Source organism: Homo sapiens, chromosome 13, assembly GCF_000001405.40.
Source record: "Homo sapiens chromosome 13, GRCh38.p14 Primary Assembly".
Lineage (NCBI taxonomy): Eukaryota > Metazoa > Chordata > Mammalia > Primates > Hominidae > Homo > Homo sapiens.
The window spans coordinates 25237228-25264469 of record NC_000013.11 but is presented as its reverse complement, the minus strand read 5'-3'; the positions used below and the strand labels follow the sequence as shown (position 1 = coordinate 25264469).

Below are 27242 nucleotides of genomic sequence, written 5' to 3'. Positions count from 1 at the left end.
TCTGAAATTTCACAGTAATGTCCTTTTAAATCTCATCCAGAAACTCAGGTCTCAATTTTGGGAATTTGCTTCTCTATTTCTTTGATAATTTCCTCTGTTCTATTAATTTTCTTTGTCCTTTTTATTTATTAGTTGACAATTGGGCTTTGTAGAATAAACTTCTACTTTTTTAAAAACTTTCTCCTTTATTTTTCATTTTTTTTTTTGGATTTTCTGGAAGATTTCCTCAACCTCATCTCCAGTCTGTGTCTTAGATCCTTTTTTTGCTGTGGTGTTTTTAATATCTGAGAGCTTTTCCTATTTTCTGAAATTTTTAAAGATGGTTTTCTATTCCTGGATGTGATGTTTTAGTTCTTTGAGGATGTTAAAGATTTAAAAAAATAATTCTCATGCTTCCCACATTAGTTATTGTTTTGCTCAGAGTTCCATTTTTTTCTATTTATTTAGTGTTTTTGTCTTTCATGTCTTTCAAATACCTGTTTCTTGGCTGAGTTCTCATATTCAAGCTGTTTTGAAGTTTGTGTGCAGGAATGGTTTGTATCTTGGGATTCTTTCTTTGTTTTCTTTTTTCTTTTTTCTTCTTTGAGACAAGGTCTCGCTTTGTTTCCCAGGCTGGAGTGCAGTGGCACAATCTCGGCTCACTGCAACCTCCGCCTCCTGGGTTCCAGTGATTCTCCTGCCTCAGACTCCCAAGTAGCTGGGATTACAGGCATGTGCCACCATGCCTGGCTAATTTTTATATTTTTAGTAGAGATTGGGTTTCACCATTTGGCCAGGATGGTTTCGAACTCCTGACCTCAGGTGATCCACCGGCCTCGGCCTCCCAAAGTGCTGGGATTGCAGGTGTGAGCCACCGTGCCTGGCTTTGGGATTCTTTCTGTTGTATAAGTTGGTTTCCTTAAAGAACAAACCTCTAATTTTGGTCCCAATGTGTATAGTAAGTCTGGCCATGATCCAAGGGTGAGAAGAGTGATGTCAGGATTTCACATTTTGTTATGTAGACTTTACTTAATGCTCCTAGTCTTTGTGAGTATAGGGCTTCACCCCTGCCCACAGCTGTGTCTATTGTCTATAGAGTCTTCAGGTTCATCCTTATCATGGAATAAACTTTGTCTTCAAGGTAAGGGAGAATCTGGTGGTCTTAGCTAGTTCTCGTACAGGCATTCAAGCAGTTCTCCTTTTTTTCAGTTATATACCTGCTCAAGCCTTCAGAGGTTTTGAGCCTTTTGAGATTTTGCTGCACAAAATACCTTGCTTCTTACTGACTTAAGGGAGTTAGCAGCTTTCTTTGTCCTGTAAAATTGGTTATCACTTGCTAGTCAGCTGTCATCTCCCCAAATTTTATTGACATCTCTATGTCTTTTTTCCCATTCTCTTTGTCCCTGTGGTTTTATGCATTTTAACTTTCTTTATTCGAACCTGACTTGGATTTTGGGAAGGAGCAGAGGCAAAGGGGTAAGGGTTTAGACAGAAGTTTCTAATCTGCTTTTCACAACTAAATCACAGAGAGGTTAAATGGTTATGGCCTCTCTTGACACAGCCATATGTGTAAACATTGTTTATTGGAAAGTTGGGCTGAAAATAGTTATTCTGTGAACAACTTAACAAATCAGAAAGTAGGTCTGAAAAGAATTTAATAAGGCAATGTTCATTTTCTACTGTTTTATCATATTTTCGTGGTTTTATTTTGTGAGTTTAAAATATGCAATTGTGTGAATTTGCATGTATTTTTGTTTTCCATTGGAGAAAAAGTATATGGATCTAAATCTTTTAAATCTTTTTTTAGGACTTTAAACAATAGTAGGCTGGGCATGATGGCTTATGCCTGTAATCCCAGCATGCTGGGAGGTGAGGTGGGCAGATCGCTTGAGCCCAGGAGTTGACAACCAGCCTGGGCAACATGGCAAAAACCCATCTTAACAAAAAATACAAAAATTAGTCAGGCGTGGTGGTGTGTTCCTGTAGTCCCAGCTACCCTGGAGGCTGAGTTGGAAGGATTGCTTGAGCCCAGGAGGTCAAGGCTGCAATGAGCTGTGATCACGCCACTGCATTCCAAACTGGGTGACAGAGCAAGACCTTGTCTCAAAAACCAACCAGCCAAACAAAAAACAGTAAATAATGAATCCAACCACTCACTACTTATAGATAATTCTTGCTCTATTCGATTGACTGTATTTTAACTCAAATTTGAATTGAAGGTCATTTTTCTCATTTTATATTAAGATTGCCGATTTCTAATTAGAGATCTTAAAACCTTTAGAAAGTAAAAGTTCCAGTGTTGCTACTTAAAAATTCTTGTTCTATTTTTATTGACTAATCTTTTACTTGAACTTCAGTTGGAAGGATCCTGTAATCTAAATGGAGCGCAGAATGAAGATAACAGTAGGTTACTTCACAGAGAATTGACTGGGTGTTATTTCTTAGGACCCAGGTTTCTTCATCAAACTAGATAAGGAGGTATTTAGTTTTCTTATGAGAATAGAATATTGGGAAAACTTAGGAATGTCAAAATATTGAAATAGTATTTAATTCAAAGAGGATCTTAAAGTTAATGCCTCCTAATTATCATATTTGATTTTAACACTTTTGGCTTTTTTTTCTTGTAAGCATCTTTAAAGACATTTTAGAGATCTTTGCATAATCTCTTTTCTGTCCTTTAAAAAATAGGCTGCCATTTGTCGATGTAGTCAGCCACTCTCTGGATTCAGTGCCAGGTGCCTGGAGGATGAACATTTGCTTCAAGCCATTAGTAAAGCCAATCCAGTCAATCGCTATATGTACGTCATGGATACCAGGCCAAAAGTATGTATTTTAAATACAGTACAGTCTGCTAGTTTAATTATTTTTATTACTTTACTTAATGAGAGTTAATAAACTTGCCCATATTTAAAATATCTGAATCCTAGTTTTAAATTAACTAAGGCTAATGATACTAAGGAAATCAATCCTTTATTTAAAGGATACCAATTTAGAAAACCAATTTCTGAGTAACTCATGGTGATTTCTTACATCTTCTGATATATATAAATTCAGGAAAGCTGAATTGTATATTGAGAACTCTTGCTAGTATATAAGTCTTATGTTATTGTGAAGAAATAATAAAATGTGTGTTATGAAAAATAAATTGTTACTATTCTTTTTTTTTTTTTTTTTTTTTTTTTTTTTTAAGACAGAGTTGCACTCTGTCACCCTGGAGTGCAGTGGTGTGATCTCGGCTCACTGCAACCTCTGCCTCCCAGTTCAAGCAATTCTCCTGCTTCAGCCTCCTGAGTAGCTGGTATTACAGGCACGTACCACCATGCCTGGCTAATTTTTTGTATTTTTAGTAGAGATGGGGTTTCACCATGTTGACCAGGCTGGTCTCGAACTCCTGGCCTCAAGTGATCCGCCCACCTCAGTTGGCCTCCCAAAGTGTTGAGATTACAGGCATGAGCCACTGCGCCCAGCCTAAATTCTTATTATTCTTTTTTGAAGAATTTTCAATTGACAAAACATTTTTATGCTAAAATAATGGATTTTAGCTTGAAATTTTCAAGAAAATAAGGAAAACAGTTAACTTAGGAAACATTGAACTAGAGAATTTTAAATAGTGAACAGGAATTTGGGTTATCTTAGGCATCTTGTGTGCTATGGGGCCAAATTTTTATCATTGGGACAAATTTCAGAGTCCCTTCTTCTTTTTATTAACATAGTTAAACAACCAGTTCATATAGGATCCTGAAACTAAAATAATTAAAATCCTCAGTGGTAATAGCTAACGTTACTTTTAATTTTTGTTATAGCGTCGCATGCAGAGCTGGTGGGCTACACAAAAGGACATTGGCAGAATTATAGTGAGGATTTCTTCAAAAATCCAGAATGATGAGAAAATAAGAGAAAGCAATGAGAAAAAGCGAGTGAGCAATATAGAACGCAAGTGGTTTTTAGGCAGCTTTGTGAAAGGAATGGTCACTATTTTAGAAGTGATTCTCATCATTATGCAATTTCACAAAAGATAATTTAGAAACCAGAAGAAGAGATTAATTTGAGTAAATTGTACTTTGGGAGGCCACGGCGGGTGGATCACCTGAGGTCAGGAGTTTGAGACCAGTCTGACCAACATGGAGAAACTCTGTCTGTACTAAAAATACATAATTAGCCGGGCATGGTGGTGAATGCCTGTAATCCCAGCTACTCGGGAGGCTGAGGCAGGAGAATCACTTGAACCTGGGAGGCGGAGGTTGTGGTGAGCCGAGATCACGCCATGGCACTCCAGCCTGGGCAACAAGAGCGAAACTCCGTCTCAAAAAAAAAAAAAAGAATTATCTGGCTGGACATGGTGGCTCACACCTGTAATCCCAGCACTTTGGAAGGCTAAGGTGGGTAGATCACCTGAGGTCAGGAGTTTGAGACCAGCCTGGCCAACATGGCAAAACCCCGTCTCTACTAAAAATACAAAAAATTAGCTGGGTGCGATGGCAGGCGCCTGTAATCCCAGCTACTTGGGAGGCTGAGGCAGGAGAATTGCTTGAACCCAGGAGGCAGAGGTTGCAGTGAGCCGAGATTGTGCCATTGCACTCCAGACTGGGTGACAAAAAAAAAATTAATAATTATTTAAAAATAGAAATTGATAACTTGATAATCTTTTATTAAAAATAAAAGACTTTATTAGGAGTTGAGAGTGTTGGTGATATCTCATAAGAAAAATTCTGGAACACTTTTTTGATAATATTAGATATAAAAGGCGATTGTAATATGAGACTTTTTGAAGATGAGGTCTGATACAGTGATTTGTTTTTCAGGACCTCATAGTTCTTATTTGTATAATTATCTTCTTCACAGAAAATATATCATTCTTTGATTGTTTTACTAGTTAAATGTAACTCAAGTAGTAATAATGTGGAAGCATTTTTTAACATCTAACTGTAGATTTTACTTTAGGTACCGAATAACTAGTGAGTCAGTAGGATACAATTTAACTGTACTTGTTACCAAACTGAGGTCCAATCCACAAAATGAAGAGCTCCTTTTCTTCTAATTTAGGCTTCGTTTTATCCACGTTCATAAGAATTTTTAATAAATTGTGTTAACATACTATATGAAATCCTAGCCTGGAAGAATTAAGCATGACAAATCCTAAGGGACCACTGACAACATTTTGATCTAATAGCTAAAGACCATGGGCATATGAGCAATCTGTTTTTTCCTGGAGACCAGTTTATTTTTGGCCCAATTCTCAGAGATGTATCAGGATAGCCGATTATATGCCATATTATATGATGTATGGGCCTCCAATAATCTCTCATATAATCTCCCTCAAGTAATCTGAAGCATATTTCAGATCTGATTTTCAGGTCCCTATGGCTCTCAGAATGATCAATGCCCTAGGCTTGTTCTGAAGTAAACTCATAGGTTCATTCTGTAAAAGGAAAGTCCCCCAGCCAGCTCTGCTCAACTGAATCATTTAGAAATTAGATAGGAGACATTTCTTTCTTTTTAATTTTAAAATATTACAAACATATGGAAACTGCCTAAAATATAAATGAATTGGTTTCATGAACTTATGGGAACTTTGACCTTTCCATTATATAGCAATCGTATTACTTTATTATCTCCTTCATTACTATTTAATAATGTGGCATTTTTACTTACTAAAAGATGAATGGTAGCTTATTCAGTTTTGATGAGTTCCTTTAAACTGCCTCCTAGCTAAAATACTGCTTATTTAATATTTTCATGACATTTTGGTAAATTAAAAAAGTAATTTGTCTCTAAATTTCTAAAACTTTTAATTTTAGCTGAATGCAATGGCCAACAGAGCAGCTGGAAAAGGTTATGAAAATGAAGACAACTATTCCAATATTAGATTTCAGTTTGTTGGAATTGAAAATATTCATGTCATGAGGTCCAGCCTTCAGAAATTATTGGAAGGTATATTATTGCTTACTTTTTTAGACACCCTTGTCCAAAAGAAATCTAATGCTAGTCACATGTAATTTAGAATTTTCCAGTGGTCACATTTTAAAAAGTAAAAAGAAACAAGTGAAATTAATTTTAATAATATCCTTACTTAATATATTATAAACATTATTTTAACATGTAGTCAATATAAAAAAAATCAGTAATGAGATATTTTTCTTTTCATCAACTCTTAGAAATCAGGCATGTATTTTACACTTACTACACATCTGAGTTTGGACAAGCCATATTTCAAATGTTTAGTAGCCGTATTTGGTTAGTGGCTGCTGTATTAGACAGTACAATTCTAATGGTTTTGCAAAAAAAATGTTATTAGATAGATATTCTTGAGTAGTCAGTACAATAAATACTAATTTGTAGTAATGTTCATTTAAATATTCCAGTCATAGTATAGAATTTAAAAAATTAAAATATAAGATTATTTTTAGTTAGATGCTTGTGCTACAATGTTTTTTAAGAGATTGGAGCATTTTTGTAAGCACGGGAATAATAGAAAAATATATCCAAGAATCAGTTATTGAGCTTTTAATAGCATCTTTTCATTTATAGAGTCTTGCCTGTTTATTTTGTCTTCTTTCTTCATTCACTTATCTAGAGAGATCTTGAAAAAAGAAATGCAGAAACTCTAGCCATATTCTAATTGAAATATTTTTATACCTCTTTCAGTCAATGGCACTAAAGGGCTTTCTGTCAATGATTTCTACTCCGGTTTGGAGAGCTCGGGATGGCTTCGCCATATCAAAGCTGTTATGGATGCTGCAATCTTCTTGGCCAAAGTAATACTTTATCTTTCATATTTGGTCTTGGGGTCTATAATGATTGGGAAGGAGTAGATGTATTCTGTTGGGGGCTGGTATCTATTCATCAGATAACTTTTATTATTTTTTACCTCTTTAATGAGCTTCACTTTATTTTCAGCCTTAAAAATATCATGTAGCACTTAATGTAGAAACTTAAAAAGATGCTCCTAAATACTTTGAAGTGGCATTTTTTCTTTGTTTTTTTTTTGTTTGTTTGCTTGTGTTTTTGTTGTTACCATATTTTGTTGTGTATTTTGGAAATTATGCTGTGACATTATCATTGCAGGCATAGCACTTCCTTGTAACACAATACCTGCTAGTATGATTTTCAAGTAGAATTTATTGGTTTACCTTAAAGTACGCTAGAATGTATGTGATCTTTCTTTTCAGGCAATAACAGTTGAAAATGCAAGTGTGTTGGTGCATTGTTCCGATGGTTGGGATAGGACTTCCCAGGTTTGTTCCCTGGGTTCTCTTTTATTGGATTCCTACTACAGGACAATCAAAGGATTCATGGTAAGGATTTATTTGGTTAGACCAATGGTTCTTAAGTAGGAGTAATTTTATGTTCCTCCAGAGGACATTTGGCAATGTTGGAGACAGTTTTGCACTAAAGGAAATGATGAGACTGGCATCCGTGGGAGTGGCCAGGGATATTGCTAACTAAACATTTTATAATGCACAAAATTTTTGCTGGGGGGTCAGCCTCACAGCAAAGACTGATCTGGCCTGTAATGTCAGTACTGTCGAGGTTGAAAAACCTTGAATTAGACTTATTTCCATTTGTGCTAACACTGACAATAAGCTTTAGATTTAAATAATTTTTTTTCCTAAAATGTTGCAATGGAAATATTCAGTATTTTCTCCCTCATTTTTATCTAACAAATGTAAATAATGTAATAAAACAATGCACAAATAAGAGTACTTAAAATTAAATTCTGAAGGAAACCTTCTATTTAAAACACCTGCATTAGTAAGTGTAATAACATATTAGGCATGTTTTATATCTGAAGATAAAATTTCTAGTTGAATAGATTTTCTCCTTTGTGAAGATAAAGACCTAGTTCCTTTTTTTTGTTTCTTTGCTTTTAAAGGTATGATCAGATTTTTATTTGCTTGCTTTTAAACGTGTGAGCAGATTAACTTATGTTTTCAAAATTTACATCTTAACTCATGGTAAATTAAATGAAGAGATGTTAGAAAATTTTCATTAGTCTTGAATTATTAAATACAGTGCCATCTTAAAGCAAAGGAAGATTTAAAATCACCAGTCCCTTTTCAGCACCGCTATTTTTTGCTGCTAACATACCGACTCTGGGACAGGCCAAGCGGGAGTGCTGCTAATAAGAAAATAATGCTCAGCTTACCTTGAGAGTGTACGATAAGGAATATTTTCTTTGCCATGTTTGGCTTTAATTATTTGTTAGACATCCAAATGAAATCATGTAATAAATGGGGATGATGTGAGAGCTTCCCAGGCAATAGGAACAGTGTAAATCAAAGCATAACCTCTTTGGGTGACTGCAGGTAATGTGTGATGGATGGAGTTCAGAGTGAGTATTAGAATAGGGGGCTTGGAGGCAGAGGAATAGAGTGGGGTCAGGGCCTGAGAAAGAGAAGGCTGGAATGGGGCTTTCCCCTCTTTGGATAATGGGAGCTATTAAAGAGTTTTAAACAAGCAAACAGTAACTTGATTAGATGTGCTTTTTAAAAAGGTGGCTTGGTATCTTGAAGGCCAAAGGGAGTGGGAATGGAGGCTAGGAGGCGAGTGTAGACACTATTATGATAACTTATGAGACAAAAGTTTTTAATTTTACCAAACTAAAATAGTAACACACAAGTGAAGGGGGAGGTGATGGGTTCCAGGGATGTTTAGAGAGTAGAGTCAGTGGCTGGGCGCAGTGGCTCACGCCTGTAATCCCAGCACTTTGGGAGGCCAAGGCGGGTGGATCATGAGGTCAGGAATTCGAGACCAGCCTGGCCAATATGGTGAAACCCTGTCTCTGCTAAAAATACAAAAATTAGCCGGGCATGGTGATGTGTACCTATAATCCCAGCTACTCAGGAGGCTGAGGCAGAAGAATTACTTGAACCCAGGAGGCGGAGGTTGCAGTGAGCCAAGATTGCGCCACTGCACTCCAGCCTGGGCAACAGAGTGAGACCCTGTCTCAAAAAAAAAAGAAAGTAGAGTCAGGAAGAATTGATCATGGATTGGATGTGGGATAGAAGAGAGGAGTCTTCCTCTGGGATGATTTCCAAGTTTCTGAATTAGGTGCCAGGATGGATGGTGCTGCTCTCTGGCTCTTCACTGAGATAAGCCAAAGAATACATTTAGTGAGAAAGATATTGAGTTATGCTTTAAACATGGTTTTGTAGAAGAATGGCAGAGAGACCAGAATAAAATCTGTGGCTCCAGCCACAAGGTCACACAAAGTGGTGAAGCTGGGATTGGAGCCTGTGCCTGAGCTCCAGCGACTACATCCTCAGCCACATCAGTGTATAGCCTTCTGCGGAAAGCAGAGGCTTGAGACAAAATCAGAGAAGCTAAAACCAGCAGTTTTGACACTATGAAAATAATGTGCTTGGTGACTGTATAGTTAAGTGATAAAGTGTACTAAATACTACAAATATGTGTTTAGATTAGACTGAAAAAGTTAGAAATCTGTTTTTACAGTGGAGTGGGTAAGTAGAGAAGCTGTGGCAAGGAAAACATAAAGTCAGTCCATTCAAGAGGATAGATGTTAACACTTGGATCTGAACATGAACTCAAGTAAGATGATTTGATTAAAATAATTGGTCTTTTTATCATTAGTTTTTTTTTCTTAAAAAAAGTAGTATATAAATAATATAAAAAATGTACAAGTAAGCCAAAAGTTTTAAAATATCCACCTCAGTCTACCACCTAGAGTTATCCTTTGTTAGCAGTTTTGGTTTACATTTTTCTAGCCTTTTTCCTATGATATATCATCTTCATACATACAAAAACTTAAATGTAATACTGCTTTATAACATGTACTTTTCACTTAAAATGTAATAAATTCAACGGAAATAATTTAAGTCACGAAACTACTCTATTTCTTTTTATGCATTTTTATTCTTCTTTAACCCCACCTCGAATCAAGGTTTTGGCATTCTTTTGCCTGTGGTTTTTTGTGCTGTTTTGTTTATAAGTTAAAAGTGTACAGTAAATACTGTTTTTAAACTAATAAGATTTAATCCAGCCTAAACAAAATAATTGAAAGTAGTCAGAAAGTGAATTTTACTTTTTCTCATTAAGGTTTTAATAGAAAAGGATTGGATCTCTTTTGGACATAAATTTTCAGAGAGGTGAGTCACAGTTACACAGTCATATATTTTATAAAATTAGTAAACCAAGTTTAGAATGCCAAAATGTTTCTGTTCCTTATGAACTCACATGCGTGATGGGAGGTAAGAGTGTCATGGTTTTTACTGTATTTTACGTAAAGACATTTAATTTTTTTCTGTAATTTCTTTCAATTCTAGTACGCTTGTTAATTTTCATGACTATTTATTACCTTCCTTTTGGGCTGCATTTTATTTAGAGATGGTAACAGATCCTTTAAAGCTGTGGTTTAAAAACTCATAAATGGTTTCAATAAAAATTCTAGTTTTGCATGCTAATGTAACAGTGCTTTAGGAATATTTTTGTATGTTTAAGATTAACAATACCTGAACAATGGACCTTTCAGAGGTGTTTTTAAAAGCTTATACTTTCTGTGGGGTTAGGTGTGGCCAGTTGGATGGTGACCCAAAGGAAGTCTCACCAGTGTTTACTCAGTTCTTGGAATGTGTGTGGCATTTGACCGAACAGTTTCCACAAGCCTTTGAATTCAGTGAAGCATTTCTTCTTCAGATCCATGAGCATATTCATTCATGCCAGTTTGGAAACTTCCTTGGAAATTGTCAGAAGGAAAGAGAAGAGCTCAAGTAAGATGATTCAATTAAAAGAGTCTCCTTTTCCCCCTACTTAGCCGAGGTCTAACAAAAATCATGTTTGAAACTTAATAAAATATCTTGACAATTTGAAAGTTTATTGTAAAGATTTTATTTTTTGTATTTCTAAAGCTGAGTACCCTTCTAATATTCCCCCACCTTTCAGCTAATAGTAAAAGCACATTATAAAATGTGTTTTGAAGTGTAGCATACATACAGAAAAGTACATAGAGCGTTAAGTGTGAAGCTCAGTAAATCTTACCAAACTCACACACCTATGTAACCAGCACCCAGAATATGAAATGTTGTCAACACCCTGGAAAGTCTCCTCATGCTTCTTTTCGGTCTGCATTTATATATTTTAGAACAGAGAAATCCTTATGCTGTTTAATTTCCCAGAATGTATCAGTCGCTAGTTTTAAAGTGTAAAATATTTTAAACTGTTGGTTTGTTTTAAGATAGGATGGAGCCTTATAGCTCTCCCCACATTTCTAAACAGACAGTTCTTTGGGGAAAATAAATCTAGCTATGTTGGCTGCAGCGTGTCCGTCCTTGAGTAGGGTCTCAGAAAAGCCCTGAGACACTACTTGACCCTAGTTCATGTTATTTCCTGACCAGTCTTCGGGGATAGGGGTTTTTGCCTAAATTTTGCTGTAAGGAAGATCTCTGGAGTAGGTCTTAGAGGTCCTATGTATATTGTTTTAGGTTGGGCTTCTGAGTTTGGATTTCTTTATTGCCTCTTACAGTAGGCAATAAAGAGCACTTAACAGACTTTTGAACATCCAAGGGACATATTAAGGAAGCTAAATCTGGTAGTATTTGAAGATAGCCACATGCTCACACTCCCAACAGAGTAAACAGCAGAACTGAGAGCATGTGGAAAATTCTAAAAATGCGTAAAGGGAATAAAAAGTGAATAGAGAATGGTGGAGATGAACAATCAAAGAACATTGAGGCTTTAGCTCTATGTTACAGTGATTCAAAATAGTTTATTATAATTTGGAGCACAGAGGTAACTCTTTTCCTGGAGTACAGAGCTATTTTAGGAAAAACTATTCTTAATTAGTGCCAAACATTCTCAAAAATGGAAAGATGGAAGTAAAAGTAGATATTTCCTAGTAGTTTTTCTCCAAGACACACCTATGGGTCATCTTAGGAGTTATGGAAAAATCAGGAGATTTTCCACTTTCCCCCTGGATACCTACATTATGTTTACTTGGTAAATGTCCAGTCTAAAACCATTCTTACCTTTGCCCAGCTACTCTTAGATTTGCAAAATAATTGGCTTTTAAAATTCTTGCATAACATCCTGATTTTGCCTGTTCCCTTTTTGTACCCACTCACACTTACGTGTGCTCCTGCCCTATGATACTCGCCACTACGGCCCAGACGTGGGGTTAAGAGAAGGCCAGACAGAAAGATGCATTAGTGTCTTGTTCTATGTGTATGTTTGTGGTGATTTGAAGTAGGTGGAACAGAGACCAAGTTTTTGAAATTGTGTGAGTTGAGAGGAATCCCTTAAAATATATGGTTGTGAGAGAAAATGTTATACCTGTGTTGTGTTCAAGAAACATGACTTTATTACCTAATTATGAATGAAAAAGGAGAATAGAGATAATACAGAATTCTGAGACAAGGTTAGACTGTGAATACAAGAAAAAACTAAAATTTAAATCTGCTTCGGAAGCCATCGCCTGATTTATAAAAATGAATATTACCATTACTACTTTGCATCTATAGGAAAGATCTCTGTGTTTTTCTCATTATATTAAGGTTGAAGGAGAAGACTTATTCCCTGTGGCCATTTCTTTTGGAAGACCAAAAGAAGTACTTAAATCCTCTCTACAGTTCCGAATCTCACAGATTTACAGTTTTGGAGCCAAATACAGTATCTTTCAATTTTAAGTAAGTTGACATCATTGGAGTATTTATACTTGAATTTTCTCAAACACAATTTATTGAAACTTTTTTTTGTCATAAAGGTTTTGGAGGAACATGTACCATCAATTTGATCGAACACTGCATCCTAGGCAGTCTGTATTTAATATAATTATGAATATGAATGAGCAAAATAAACAATTAGAGAAAGATATTAAAGACCTAGAATCTGTAAGTATTCTGAAGTATCTAATATATTTGGAATGTGAAATTAGTTTACGATTAGACTAATATTTGTATTGTTGGTGTAAATCAGCACATAAACTTCTGAAGTAAGCAGTTTCTTCAAAATCAGGTCATCCCTACTTTGATTGAATACGTTAGTTCGAATCACTTTCTTTGTATTTTAAAATACATTAAAATACCGGAAGTATATAGCATAACGTATAGATAAACATAATAACTATCTGTGTACCCACCAGCTAGCTTTTGTGGGATTTTAACATTTACTATATATGCCTCAGATCTTTCTTGTTCTTGTTTTAAGAAATAAAACATAGGCCGGGCGCAGTGGCTCACGCCTGTAATCCCAGCACTTTGGGAGGCCGAGGCGGGTGGATCACCAGGTCAGGAGAGTTTGAGACCAGCCTGGTCAGCACAGTGAAACCCCATCTCTACTAAAAAAATAACAAAAAAGTAGCCGGGCATGGTGGCGCATGCCTGTAATCCCAGCTACTTGGGAGGCTGAAGCAGGAGAATTGCTTGAACCTGGGAGGCGGAGGTTGCAGTGAGCCAAGATCATGCCTCTGCACTCCAGCCTGGGTGACAGAGCAAGACTCCATCTCAAAACAAAAACAAACAAAAAAAAAAGAAATAAAACATAGATCTATTTGAAGACCCTCTATACTCTTACCCAGTCTTCACCCATGTATCACAATTTATAATACTGTTTTTCTTGACTTAAAATATTTTTACTGTGTATTGAAAAAATACCAAAGACTATCTATAATGTTTGTATGAGTTGTAAAGGGAAACAGACAATGTATAGGCCAATATACCCTTCACTCTGCTTAAGAAACTGATGTTTTAAAACTATATAAAAGTTACCATACTGTTTATGTGCTTCATTTTGCTCAACAGTGTTTTGACATTTATCCATGTTGATACATGTAGCTTTTATTCATCTTTTTATTAGTAACTACTATATAACTTTATATTATATGAATATATCACAGTCTATCCATTCAGCTATGGATGAATATTTAAATTGTTTTCAGTTTTGGATTTCCATGATTACAAATGAAGTTAAATGACTTTCCATATTTGTTGGCCATTTGGTTTTCCTTTTCTGTGAATGGACTGTTCAAACCTTTGCTCATTTTTCTGTTGGCATATTTGCCTTTTTCTTAGTGATTTGTAAGAGTTGTTTATATGCCAGGCACTAATTCTTTGTTAGTTATATATATTACAAATGGTTTTGTCCAGCCTATTGTCTTTTCCACTTTATTTATGGTATGCTATATATAGATGTTTTGAATTTTCATGTCAAATTGCTCAATGTTTTATGCTTTCTGTGTGTGTCTTGTTTAACAAATCCCTCTCTACCCTAAGACTTTCCTATAATCTTTTTTCTGCCATCCTATATAAGCAAAAAGGATCAGTAAGTATATATATATTTTTTAAATCCTAGACAGTTATAACAGTAAGACTGTCTCATCTACCTCTCAGGCAGGAGTCTCCCTTAGTCATCTTTTAGATAAAGAGGTAATGACTGCTTGAGTAAATTGTAGAAGGATATGGTCAAGAGAGGCAAGTCCAGGATAATAGGTAATACAAGATTATCGGGACAGTCCAAGAATTTGGAGAGCATGATACTCTGCCACAGGACACTTTAAAAATCTTCTGTTAAAAAAGTAAAGTTCTGTTGTGTTTAAAGTCTGTTATTTTTACCTAACAAACCACTGTAGGAAAACCATGTAAGAAAAACTCTATATAGTCAGTGAGCCCTTTAGCTACACAAGTTTGTTTGTTGTGTTTTCAGGGTGAATGTTTCATACACATTTCTTTTATTATAAATGTTTACCTGTTATGCTTTCTAGGTAATATATGTCCATTTTAAGTGTGGAAGCCTAGTGATCGCCTGCAGTCAAGTCTTGCTGGATTGTTTGTTTAATAAATATAAAAACTAACAATTTTCCACAGCAAAAAATTGTACACAATTAGGATTTTCAACCATGTCATATGCATTAAATGTTTCTACTTTTTTGAGATTTAGTTTTGCATTATACATACAGAGAACATATTTTGCAAAAGCATGTTTTCTTTTTTCATGTAACATATTGTGGCTTATGCAATTAGTAATTTTTTCAAATTTGTGTTTGTTCTAGAAAATTAAACAACGCAAAAATAAGCAAACAGATGGCATCCTCACCAAGGAATTGTTACATTCAGTTCATCCTGAATCACCTAACCTCAAAACTTCCCTGTGTTTTAAAGAGCAGACTCTGCTACCCGTAAATGATGCTCTTCGAACTATAGAGGGCAGCAGCCCGGCAGATAATCGTTATAGTGAATATGCAGAAGAGTTTTCTAAATCAGAACCTGCTGTGGTCAGCTTAGAGTATGGTGTGGCAAGAATGACTTGTTAGACTCATAGAGTTTTTTCTGCAATGATTGCAGTACAAGAAAAGGATTATTGTGAGGATGGTCTGTAAGCATAACCAAAAGGAATTTGTCTAATAACAATTTTAGGGTTTAACAGTAGGCTAATAGTTGAAGGAAGGATAATAACTACCCTTGTGAGAGAAATAAGTCATTTTAATTGCATTTCCAGCAAGGAATGACATTCAGTTCTGTAAGAAATGAGTGGTATTTGATGTATTTACTCAAAACACAATTTGCACTGTACACTAGTGAATTGACGTTTATGATTTATGTTAATTCAGCCAAACATAAATAACCTTCCTTAAGTACAATTTAACTTCAAGAAAACAAAATTTGACAACATAGTTTCTTAATAAATGATATGGCATGTACTTTCAATTATGTAGCTTTGTAACTATGAATATTTACATATTTTGCCTTTTAGTGATATTTAATGTTAAAGTGCCATGAAAAATATTTCTAAGAAAGCCTTAAATTCCCAGTGGATTCTTTACCCTTAAGTTTTACAGCCTACAACAAGATTTTTTGTTTTGTTTTTCTTCTGGTCAGCCTTGTTTTGTTTGTAAAGAATTGTGCTCTCATTACTGCTGGGGGTGCATGCTACAATACTTCTATATAAACACTTGTAGAAGTACACTGTTCACGTTTAGCCTGCCCCACTTTTGTATTCAAAATTAATGAAACTGAAGGTTTATTCTGATCATAATTTGTTTAGTGCTACATTTGATAATTTATTATTTACAGCTTAGAATATTGATTTCTTGAATACGTATAAGCACATTTGACTGTCTTTTATATATGGATTACTGCATTCCATTGATTCTTATTTTGTGGTTGGCTTTATTTCTTTCACAACTGTGTAAGTTTAAAGAGCTAAAGCTCTAAAACTGTTCTGAGAAACAATGAATAGTACATGTATATGTATATTTTTAAACTGCCTTATTGCTCAATGAGTTGCTGTTCCTGGAGTATCTAACTTTCAGTTTACTCAAAAACTTTTGGGTAAATAAAAAAGGGAAGTACAGATAGTTTAGGTTGTGCATGGTTGCATGAATTTTGAAGTCATTTCTATGTGGAGCATTATTTTTCTTCTTGTTAAATATAGAAAAAAAAAGAGATTCTAGTACAAAGTTACTGTTTAACAAAAGCAACATAAACTCTGGGAAAGATTTCATTTTGCCATGTTATATTTACTGTTTATTCTGTGTACTAGTACATATCTTTAAATTACCAAAAAACAAGAAACAAAACATAAAAACCCCAAAACTATCACTTGGAATTAGCAATATCACCCAACTGGCTTTAAAATTGAAAATTTAAATAACATGGTGGCATGAAGTACAATTCGAGTATTAGGCAATTTGCATAGTGTTCCTCATGCTACTTTCTGTTACACCTCTATTATATTAGTTTTGAATATAAACATCTTTTTCAGACCAAAAAAAACTTTATTGTATGAGAGCTTATCTTATCCTGTTTATTTTTCCAATGCTTTTCTGTAATACATTATGTAATTTAAAAAATATTCCTTTTTAAACAGCAACAGAAATGCACTATAAAATATAGTATGTGATTAACCAATCCTGCTTCCATATTTAAGCACTGGGAATGGAAACTTAATCTCTGTGACTACAAAGGGAAGTTTTTGTGCCTTGGTGTTCCAGTCACTGATTGTGGTTTTAGAATCTTCTGTGGCTGACTTCTTGTATTCAACTCTGGTTTATTATCTTAATCTTCAACTTCAGACATATATTTGTGTGTTTATATGCTCACAGGTGGACTGAGAAATCAGTTACATCTTAAGTGACCTACAGGGTATATGTTGGCAAAAGCAGACTGTGTATATGTCTTATAAAGTTGAATTTATGTTCAGTGTGTTTGGAAGTGTATAGCATGTAAATTACTTCATATATGATTTAAAGGTAATTAAATGTTCACATTTTACTTTGAATGTTTTTCTTCTGGATAAAACAAATGGAATCAAGTTGTAGTTGTTTTTTTTTTCTTCTCACCTAGGCAAGTAGACTTGCCCATTACATTAACATAACAGCATAAGGTTTGAGGAGTTTATTTTCCAAAAGTTTGTTGATAAATAATACCTGTTTCATACAAAAATAATTTCCAGAATATTTAAAATAGGTATAGTGGGCTAAAAGGCCCATCAGATGTAGGTAATAATGTCATTAAGTTTTCATTTTGTTCCTGTCACTTGCTTATATTACAATCACTATTTTTTTGTGCCCTTGCCAACTTGATGGAAGGCAGGGTCCATTGAGTACAAACATTCGAGGTGAAATGTCTCTCCAAAGGCAGATCTGGATGTAAATATGAGGAAGAAAATAACTGGCTGACAAGAGGATAATTTTATTGAGGGTGTTTTGAAAAGGTCAGCTAGGCTAGAAGTAGCTCAGGGAATCTTGAGTAAAGATGAAGGGAACTCTTTTAAAACAAATTCAATTTATTTGGTCGGGTAGCAGAGCAGGGAGGTGGTGTCAGTCAAGCCTGTTTTGAAACATTTTTTGCAGAAGGTCAGCTTTAAAATATTGAAAAATTTCCAGTTGACATGCTAAGTTGGATTAAATGCTGATCATTTATAAAACTATATAGTTGCTGCAAAAGTAATTGGGGCTTTTGCCATTGAAAGTGATGACAAAAACCGCAATTACTTTTGCACCAACCTAATACTACAGTTGCAGACTTTTATTAGTGACGCTGATCTTCATTAGTCAAGTTTTAGTTATTTTGTTGGCTTTTCCATGTAGAATTCCAAGTGACATTAACATACTTTGATTAATTAAAGAAAATTTGGAGACTGTTTAAGATATATGTCTAGATATCAATGTAAACTATAAGCTTTAGGAACTTACATCTAGAAGAAAGCCTGGAATCTAGAATAATTATCTCAAAAAAAAGTATATATACCATTGTACTTGATATAAGAAAATGTAAACATGAAACCTTGACATTTTAATAAACAGTATTTGTGCTACTCTAGTTATTTCTAGGAAAGTAAAATATCCATTTAAATGGCAACTTTTATAAAATAGTGGCCTGCATAACTGAAAGGAACTTTCAGAAGCTAGTAGTAGACTCTATAGCCCTGGTGTTCAGTTTCTGATTCAGTAGTTAGGGGTTGGGACTCTGGAGTTAAAATCATTTGCATACCAATAAATTGTTTGCACTTAGCAATATTTTGGATATTGTGATGCAAATGGTTGGGGAATCATACTTTGAGAAACACTGCTGTAAACCACCCATCATGGTCAGTAAACATCTTGTTTGTTCTTAAAGGGATGCCGAATTATTCTTTTTTTTTTTTTTTTTTTTTTTTTTTTGAGACGGAGTTTCACTCTTGTTTCCCAGGACAGAGTTAAAGTGGCACAATCTTGTCTCACCACAACCTCCGCCTCTGGGTTCAAGTGATTCTCCTGCCTCAGCCTCCGGAGTAGCTGGGATAACAGGCATGCACCACCACACCGGGCTAATTTTGTTGTTTTAGTAGAGACGGGGTTTCTCCATGTTAGTCAGGGTGGTCTCAAACTCCTGACCTCAGGTGATCCACTGGCTTTGGCCTCCCAAAGTGCTGGGATTACAGGCGTGAGCCACCACGCCCCACCTCAGAATTACTCTTGTATAAAGAGCAACAGGCTAGGGAGCATCACACTTCTGAAACATTGTGATACAAGTGGGAGTGAGAAATAAACCTTTGTTTTAAGCCACTGAGAATTTGGGCTCTTTGTTACTGTGGTGTAAGCGTGCCCCTCCTGAGGGATGAAACCATTTGTACAAATTTCTGTTTTTCCATTAGTTCCCAAATGGCCTTTGTCCTGCTATTTTGCGTCAGTAGCCAGCTGAGGTTTGTGCATTGCATTTGGTTGTAGCTCATCAGTCTCTGTGTTGAACAGCCGGTCACCTCTTCCCCTCTGCATTGACCTTTTGCACCAGACCAGTTGTAGTTTTCCCACTTTCTGCTTTTGTCTGATTGTTTCTTCGTGGTGTAATTTAACTTGTTCCTCTGTCTACTGTACCTGCTGTCAAGTAGGTACTAGATGAAATTCAGAGTTAGCATTTCAGGAAAGATGCTGTGTACTTAATATTGAATTACTGCGGGAGGATATAATGCCAGGTGGTTCCATTGTTAGTGACGCTAAATTTAATCACTTGGTTATCTTTTCATTGTAAAGATACATTTTTTCCCTTTGAACTCAGCAAATGCTCTATGGGGTGATATTTTGGCATCAAATTGAATATCCCTTTCCTTAACAACCTATCCATTAATTATACTTGCCCAAATCAGTTATTTCTTTGGTGTTACAAAATGCTGATTCTCTAATTTTGTTTTAACTTTTTACACTTATTTGCCTGCATTTGTTTGTTTGTTTGTTTGAGACAGAGTCTTGCTGTGTTGCCAGGCTGAAGTGCAGTGGCGCAATCTCGGCTCACTGCAACCTCCGCCTCCCGGGTTCAAGTAATTCCCCTGCCTCAGCCTCCTGAGTAGCTGGGACTACAGGCACGTGCCACCATGCCTGGCTAATTTTTTGTATTTTAGTAGAGACGGGGTTTCACCATCATGTTGGCCAGGATGGTCTCAATCTCCTGACCTCGTGACCCCCCACCTCAGCCTCCCAACATGCTGGGATTACAGGTGTGAGCCACCACGCCCGGCCTTGCTGGCATTTTTAAAAGAAGTGCTGGGTCCAGTGAGTACACATACACTGGAAAGCAGTGAGAGGTGAGGCCAGCTGGACTTCTGGGTCAAGTGGGGACTTGGAGAACTTTTGTGTCTCAAGAGGATCGTAAAACGCACCAATTAGCACTCTGTAGCTAGCTAGAGGTTTGTAAAATGCACCTATCAGTGCTGTGTAAAAACGCACCAATCAGCACTCTGTGGCTAGCTAGAGGTTTGTAAAATGCACCAATCAGAACTCTGTAAAATGGGCCAATCAGCACTCTGTAAAATGGACCAATCAGCACTCTGTAAAATGGGCCAGTCAGCAGGACATGGGCGCAGACAAATTAGGGATTAAAAGCTGATCACCCCGCACCCCAAACCCTCCCAGCCAGTAGCAGTAACCCACTCGGGTTCCCTTCAACGTTGTGGAAGGTTTGTTCTTTTGCTCTTCACAATAAATCTGGCTGCTGCTCACTCTTTGGGTTCCTGCCACCTTTAAGAGCTGTAACACTCATTGCGAAGGTGACTTCCTTCATGAAGTCAGCAAGACCAGGAACCCACCAGAAGGAACAACCTCCGGAAACAGCAGGGTCCAGTGAGTACAAACATTCAAGGTGAAATGTTTCTCCAAAGACAGATCTGGTTGTAAATATGAGGAAGAAAATGACTGGCTGAGAAGAGGGTATTTTTGTTGAGGATGTTTTAAACAGGTCAGCCAGAGTAGAAGTAGCTCAGGGAATGGAGTAAAGATGAAAGAATTTTTTATTTTTATTTTTATTTTTTGAGACAAGTCTCGCTGGATCACCCAGGCTGGAGTGCAGTGGTGCCATCTCGGCTCACTGCAACCTCCGCCTCCCTGGTTCAAGTGATTCTCCTGCCTCATCCTCCCAAGTAGCTGGGATTACAGGCGCCTGCCACCACGCCTGGCTAATTTTTTATATTTTTAGTAGAGACGGGATTTCACCGTGTTGATTAGGCTGGTCTTGAACTCCTAATCTCAAGTGATCCGCCTGCCTCGGCCTCCCAAAGTGGGGAATTCTTATTTATTTATTTACTTAGAGATAGAGTCTCACTCTGTTGCCCAGGCTGGAGTGCAGTGGCACAATCTCAGCTCACTGCAATCCCCACCTCCAGGTTTCAAGCGATTCATGTCTCAGCCTCCTGAGTAGCTGGGACCACAGGGACACGCCAGCATGCCCAGCGATTTTTGTATTTTTTGTAGAGATGAGGTCTCATCTCACCATGTTGGCCAGGCTGGTCTTGAACTCCTGACCTTAAGTGATCTGCCTTCCTCAGCCTCCCAAAGTACTGGGATAACAGGCATGAGCCACCATATGTAAGTAAACACCCTCCTGAGACAAGCCAATATAAACAAGTCAGGAGACAGACAACAAAGGCACCCTTTATTAAAGATACTGCACTTAATTATAGCAACGAAAGAGGAAACTCTTGAACTAAGAAAACTGCTAAGACATGCATACTCTTCATTCTTCTACATAGGATTATAGTCTGTAAGTTTTGAGCATGGTAAAGATAGCATCGATGGATAAGGCATCAATTTTTTTTTCTCATTTTTTTCATGTAGTTAAGATCATTTGCACTTTTTCTGTGAATTATTCGTGTCTTTTGCCTATTTTTTTCTAAAAAAATAGGTAGTTATTAAGAGCTTTTTATATTTTGTGATATAATGTGCAAAGGAACAAAAGTTTTCTTGGACAAATGGTTGATTCCAAAACTGAAGGGAGAGTACAAGGTGAGCCTGAGATATCGGAAAACAGACCTGCAAATAATAATCTCCCAGTTTGTCATTTGCTGCTTATGTTTTTTGCCTTGTAGAAGAGTTTGACATTTAGGAGGTAGAATTGTATTAGTCTTATATTACTTCTTGTTTTGAATCGTAATTAGACTGCTCTAATACTAGGTTATAAAGGATTCACTCATGTTCTCAATATTTAAAGGGTTCTATGTCTTTACATTTGATTGATCCATTTGGAATTCATTCTGATATATAGAAAGATGTATGGATCCAAATTTATCTGTTTCCCAAATGGCTACCTGGTTGTTTGAATCATTTATTAGTAAGTTCATCTTGTCAGTGATTTCAGATGTCACTTTTATGTAGTTCTTGATCCTGTTCTGTAGCATGTGTATCTGTATTGATGTGCCAAACCCATCCAGTTGTATTTATCTAGGCTACATGGTAGAGCTAGCTCTGCCTCATCACTCTTCTTTCTCAGGGTTTTCTTTGCTATTCTTTTTATTTTGAAACAATCCAGCCTCACTGAAAAATTGGCAAGTACAGAAGGGACATTTTTTCCTGAATCCCTCTGAGAGTAAGATGCTATGATATGATGCCCTATGTTCCTTAAATATTTAAAGTGTGTGTCCTGTAAGAACAAAGCCATTTTCATATGACCATGGTCACACTTCTTTCTTAGGTTTTCCTGAAAACGTTGTTCCATTATTTTCTTGTTTTGTATATTGTCAAGAAGTCTGAAGCCAACCTGATTTCTTTCCCTTGTAAGTGACTTGGTTTTTTGCCTTAAAGTCCAGTGGGTTTTTTTTTTTCTTTTTAAAGTCAATAGTTTTGCAAGATTATGTCTTGACTCCTCTAAGTCAGTTTTCCAGGTATACTATCATGTAGATTCAAGTCTGCTTGTATTTAGGCAGTTTTCTTGAATGAGTTTTAAACATTGTTTTTCTTTCCTTTTTTAGGAACTCAAATTGTATGCATATTAGATCTTGTTTATCTTCTATACGTATTGCTTTCTGATCCTGTTACCATCTTTTGTTAATTTCTATTTAATTTTTTGGCACTTTTAATTTCTTTCCTTTATGTTTTTTATTGTATGTCCAGTTATTCATATTTCCCTTTGCAAACAACATTTAATTTTTATTTCTGAAATATTTTCCTTTTGCTTTAGCTTATTTAAGTTCAGTAGTTCTTGTTTCACTTTTTTCCTCCATTTTTATTTGAGTTTTTGTATTTATGATAAGTGGTGGTTTATCATATCAGTACTTGCATTTTTACTTCTATTTTAATCCGTCTTTTAGTTTTGTTACCATTTGCCTGTGCCTGTAATCTTTCTCTTTTGGGTTTCATCTATTGAAAAGTTTTATGTATAATTTTTTTAATTAATAACTTCACATGAATGCTTGTTCGTTTTTCATTTTCTGTTCATGAGTATTTGTGTTGGATTTGCCTGGACCAGTGATAACAGACAATCCTATGTAGAAGAATGGAAGAGTTTGCATGTCTTAACAGTTTTCTTAGTTCAAGAGCTTCCTCTTTCATTGCTATAGTGAAGTACAGTGTCCTTAATAAAGGGTGCCTTTGTTGTCTGTCTCAACTTGTTTATATCATCTTGTCTCAGGAGGATGTTTATCTTTAGCTGTTTTCTTCTCTTCCATTACCTCTACCCTTCCAAGATATTCTTTTCAAAGATATCCTTTTAGAACTAATGTTTTCTCAAGACTGCCCCTTCCTTTGACTCCTCAGTTTTCAGACATGGTGTCAATGTTTTTACTGAGAGAGGGATCCTTTCCTTCTGGGAATGAGCTCTAGTTGACATTTACTGATCCATCACCAGCAAAACCTCATTGAACTCTCTTCTATGCATTCTTTACCTGATTGTCCACTCTGGTATAGACGGTGGATCTACTGGTCTCAGGCCTTTATTTCTGCAGTCATATTTAAATTGAAATTTATAAAATTCTCTGACTCTTAATAATGTTGCAAGTGTATGCCAGGGCAATTTAGTTTGTCCTCCCTGTTGATCTGTATGGTTGTTTTGGTGGATGTGGAAATTCTAATTTGGGTAGCTGCCATTTATCCTGTGGGAACCCAATCCCCTCAAGTATTCTTTTGTTCATTACTATTGTGGTAAAATATACGTAACACCAACTTAACATTTTAACAATTTTTAAATGTATAATTCAGTGGCATTAAGTACATTCACGATGTTGTGCAACTATTACCTCATCCACTTTTCATCATCCCAAACAAAAACTGTGTACCCATGAAACAGTAATTCCTCATCACCCCACCCTCAATCCAGCCCCTGGTACCATCATTCCACTGTCTGTCTCTATGAATTTGACTATTCTAGTTGCTTCATATAAGTAGAATACAGTATATGTCCATTTCTGTCTGGTGTGTTTCACTTAGCATGTTTTCAGGATTTATCCATGGATTAGCATGTATCCAAATTTCATACATTTTTTCTGGCTGAATAATATTCCACTCTATGTATAGACCATGTTTTGTTTATCCTGTCATCAGTTAATGGACACTTGGATTATTTCTACTTTTTAGCCATTGTGAATAATGCCGGTGTGGACATTGGTGTATAAGTCTTCAAGTCTCAACAAGAACTGAATAAGAATTTTAATTATTTTTGATATATACTCAGAAGTGAATTACTAGATTCTATGATAATTCTATGTTTAATTTTTTGAAGAACAAACTTTTCCATAGCGGCTGTTTTACATTCTTACCAACAATGCCAAAGGGTTCCAGTTTCTCACATCCTTGCCAACACTTGTTATTTTCCACTTTATTTTTATGACAACCATCCTAATGATTATTAGGGTATGAAGTGGTATCTCATTGTGATTGTTATTTGCATTTCTGTAATGATTAGTGACATTGAGCATCCTTTCATGTGCTTATTGGCCATTTGTATATATCTTCTTTGTTTTTTTCTTTTGAGATGGAGTCTTGCTCTTGTTGCCCAGGCTGGAGTGCAGCAATGCGATCTCGGATCACTGCAACCTCCACCTCCTGGGTTCAGGTGATTCTCCTGCCTCAGCCTCCTGAGTAGCTGGGATTACAGATGTACACCACCATGCCTGGCTAATGTTTGTATTTTTAGTAGAGACAGGGTTTCACCATGTTGGCCAGGCACGTCCTGAACTCCTGACCTCAGGTGATCCATCTGCCTCAGCCTCCCAAAATGTTGGGATTACAGGCGTGAGCCACCATGCCCGGCCTGTATATATCTTCTTTAGAGAAATGTCTACTCAAGTCCTTTGTTCATTTTTTAATTGGGCTTTTTGTTGAGTTATAGAAATACTTTATATATTCTGGATATTAATCCCTTTAGATATATGACTCACAAATATTTTCTCCCAGTCTGTGGGTTGTTTTTTCATTCTATTTACAGTGTCACTTGATGCACAGAAGTTTTTACTCTTGATAAAGTCCTATTTTTTCTTTTGTTGCATGTGATTTTGGTGTCATTTCAAGAAATAACTACCAAATCCAACTTTGCAGAGCTTTTGCCCTATATTCTAAGAATTTTATATTTTTATGTCTTACATTTAGGTCTTTGATTCACTTTGAGTTAATTTTTGTATACAGTGTTAGGTAAGGGTCAAACTTTATTCTTTTGCATATAGAGAGCCAGTTTTCCTGGTGACATTTATTGAAAATACCATCCTTTCCTCCACTGAATGGTCTTGGCACCTTTGTTGAAACTCAGTTGACCACATATGTGAAGGTTTATTTCTGAGCTCTTTATGTTATTCCATTGGTCTGTATGTCTGCCCTTATGCCAGTACTACACTGTATTTAAATAAATAAATAAGCTTATTTATTTATTTAGTAGAGACAGGGTCTCACTATGTTGCCAAGGCTGGTCTCTAACTCCTGGCTTCAGGCAATCCTCCAGCCTCAGCTACCCAAAGTGCTGGGATTACAGGCATGATTTACCCTGCCAGCCGACACTGTTTGATTATTGTAGATTTGTAGTAAGTTTTGAAATCAAAGTGTAAGTCTTCTAATTTTATTCTTTTTCAAGATCGTTTTGGCTGTTCACGGTCCTATGAGATGGTGAATATGTATTCTTCCATAGGTTTTTCTATTTCTGCAAAAAATACCATGGGATTTTAATAGTTATTACGTGGAATCCGTAAATTGCTTGGGGTAGTATTGACAAATTAACAATATTGTCTTCCAGTCTGTGAACATGGGATGCCGTCTCATTTATTTGTGCCATCTTTAATTTCTTTTAGCAATATTTTATAGTTTTCAGTGTACAAGTGTTTAGTCTCATTGGTTATTTATAAGTATTCTTTTGATACTATTTTAATGGAATAATAATAATAATAATAATTATTATTATTATTATTATTATTGAGACAGAGTCTCACTCCAGTGCCCAGGCAGGAGAGCAGTGGCGTGACCTCAGCTCACTGCAGCCTTGACCTCCAGGGCTCAGGTGATTCTCCCACCTCAGCCTCCTGAGTAGCTGGAACTATAGGCAGGCGCCACCATGCTCAGCTACTTTTTTTTTTTTTTATTTGTCTCACTATGTTGCCCAGGCTGGTCTCAAACTCCTGGACTCAAGTAACCCTCCTGCCTTGACCTCCCAAAGTGCTGGGATTCTAGGCATGAGCCATTGTGCCTGGGCTAATTGTTCTGACTAGAACTTCAAGTACTGTATTGAATAAAAGTGGTGAAAGCTGGCATCCTTATCTTCTTCTTGATCTTAGAGGAAAAGGTTTTAGTCTTGCACCCTTGAGTATGGTGTTAGCTGTGGGGTTTTCATATGCCGTATGGCCTCTGTTATGTTGAGGTACTTTTCTTCTATTCCTAGTTTGTTGAGTATTACTTTACTGTGAAAATGTGTGAATTTGGTCATGTGCTTTTTCTGCACCAAGATGATCACGTGAGGCTTTTTCCTTCTTTCTTTTAATGTGGTGTATTACACTGATGGACTTTCATATGTGAACCACTCTTGCATTTCAGGAATAAATCCCACTTGGTCATGGTATATAATCCTTTTAATGTGCTGTTGAATTCAATTTGCTAGTATTCTGGTTGAGGATTTTTGCATCAGTATCCTTCTTTTCTTGAAACGTCTTTTCTGGCTTTCATTCAGCTATTCCTTAACGTTGGCAGAATATAGGTTTGTAAACTAGAGGAAGGGTGGCCACCATGAAAAGCTGACCACTTCGGCAAGGAAGAAGGAAGAAAAACATTTCTCAGATTTATTAACTGAACCATCATCCTTTTGCTCATCTTAAATTGCTCTGTTGATATGGTTGTCAAAAATATGAAAATTAAACACACAAGGTTCATATACAATATATGAGAAATTTTAGGTGCACTCTAGCCAAGCTATCTGAAAGCAAACATGGAATATCATAAAAGAAATGAAGTTGGAGATGTTGAATAGAACACATGTGTGTGAAACTGGGTGAGTGAGAAGCTCTTATTCAAATTACCAGATCACCAGACATTATTATCAGAGGATGTTGCTGTTCCTCAACTTAGTTTCAAAAGCTTGACAGAAGAAATTGTCAGCTCCTCT

General features: G+C 36.2%; 1 protein-coding gene across 14 annotated transcripts in view; it reads left to right on the top strand.

The window, feature by feature from the left end:
- MTMR6 (myotubularin related protein 6) overlaps nt 1-18248 on the top strand; it is a 41267-nt gene extending 23019 nt beyond the window's left edge. For 3 of the 14 annotated variants that reach the window (NM_001385231.1, NM_001385233.1, NM_004685.5), the window contains 9 exons: nt 2668-2802; nt 5778-5910; nt 6625-6734; nt 7149-7274; nt 10036-10085; nt 10506-10706; nt 12486-12617; nt 12695-12821; nt 14978-18248. In NM_001385231.1, coding sequence (NP_001372160.1) covers nt 2668-2802; nt 5778-5910; nt 6625-6734; nt 7149-7274; nt 10036-10085; nt 10506-10706; nt 12486-12617; nt 12695-12821; nt 14978-15238 — 1275 coding nt within the window. In that variant the 3' untranslated portion in view covers nt 15239-18248. The other 11 variants (NM_001385238.1, NM_001385236.1, XM_017020846.2 and 8 more) reach the window with 10 other exon arrangements.
- Nucleotides 18249-27242: the final 8994 nt, after the last annotated feature.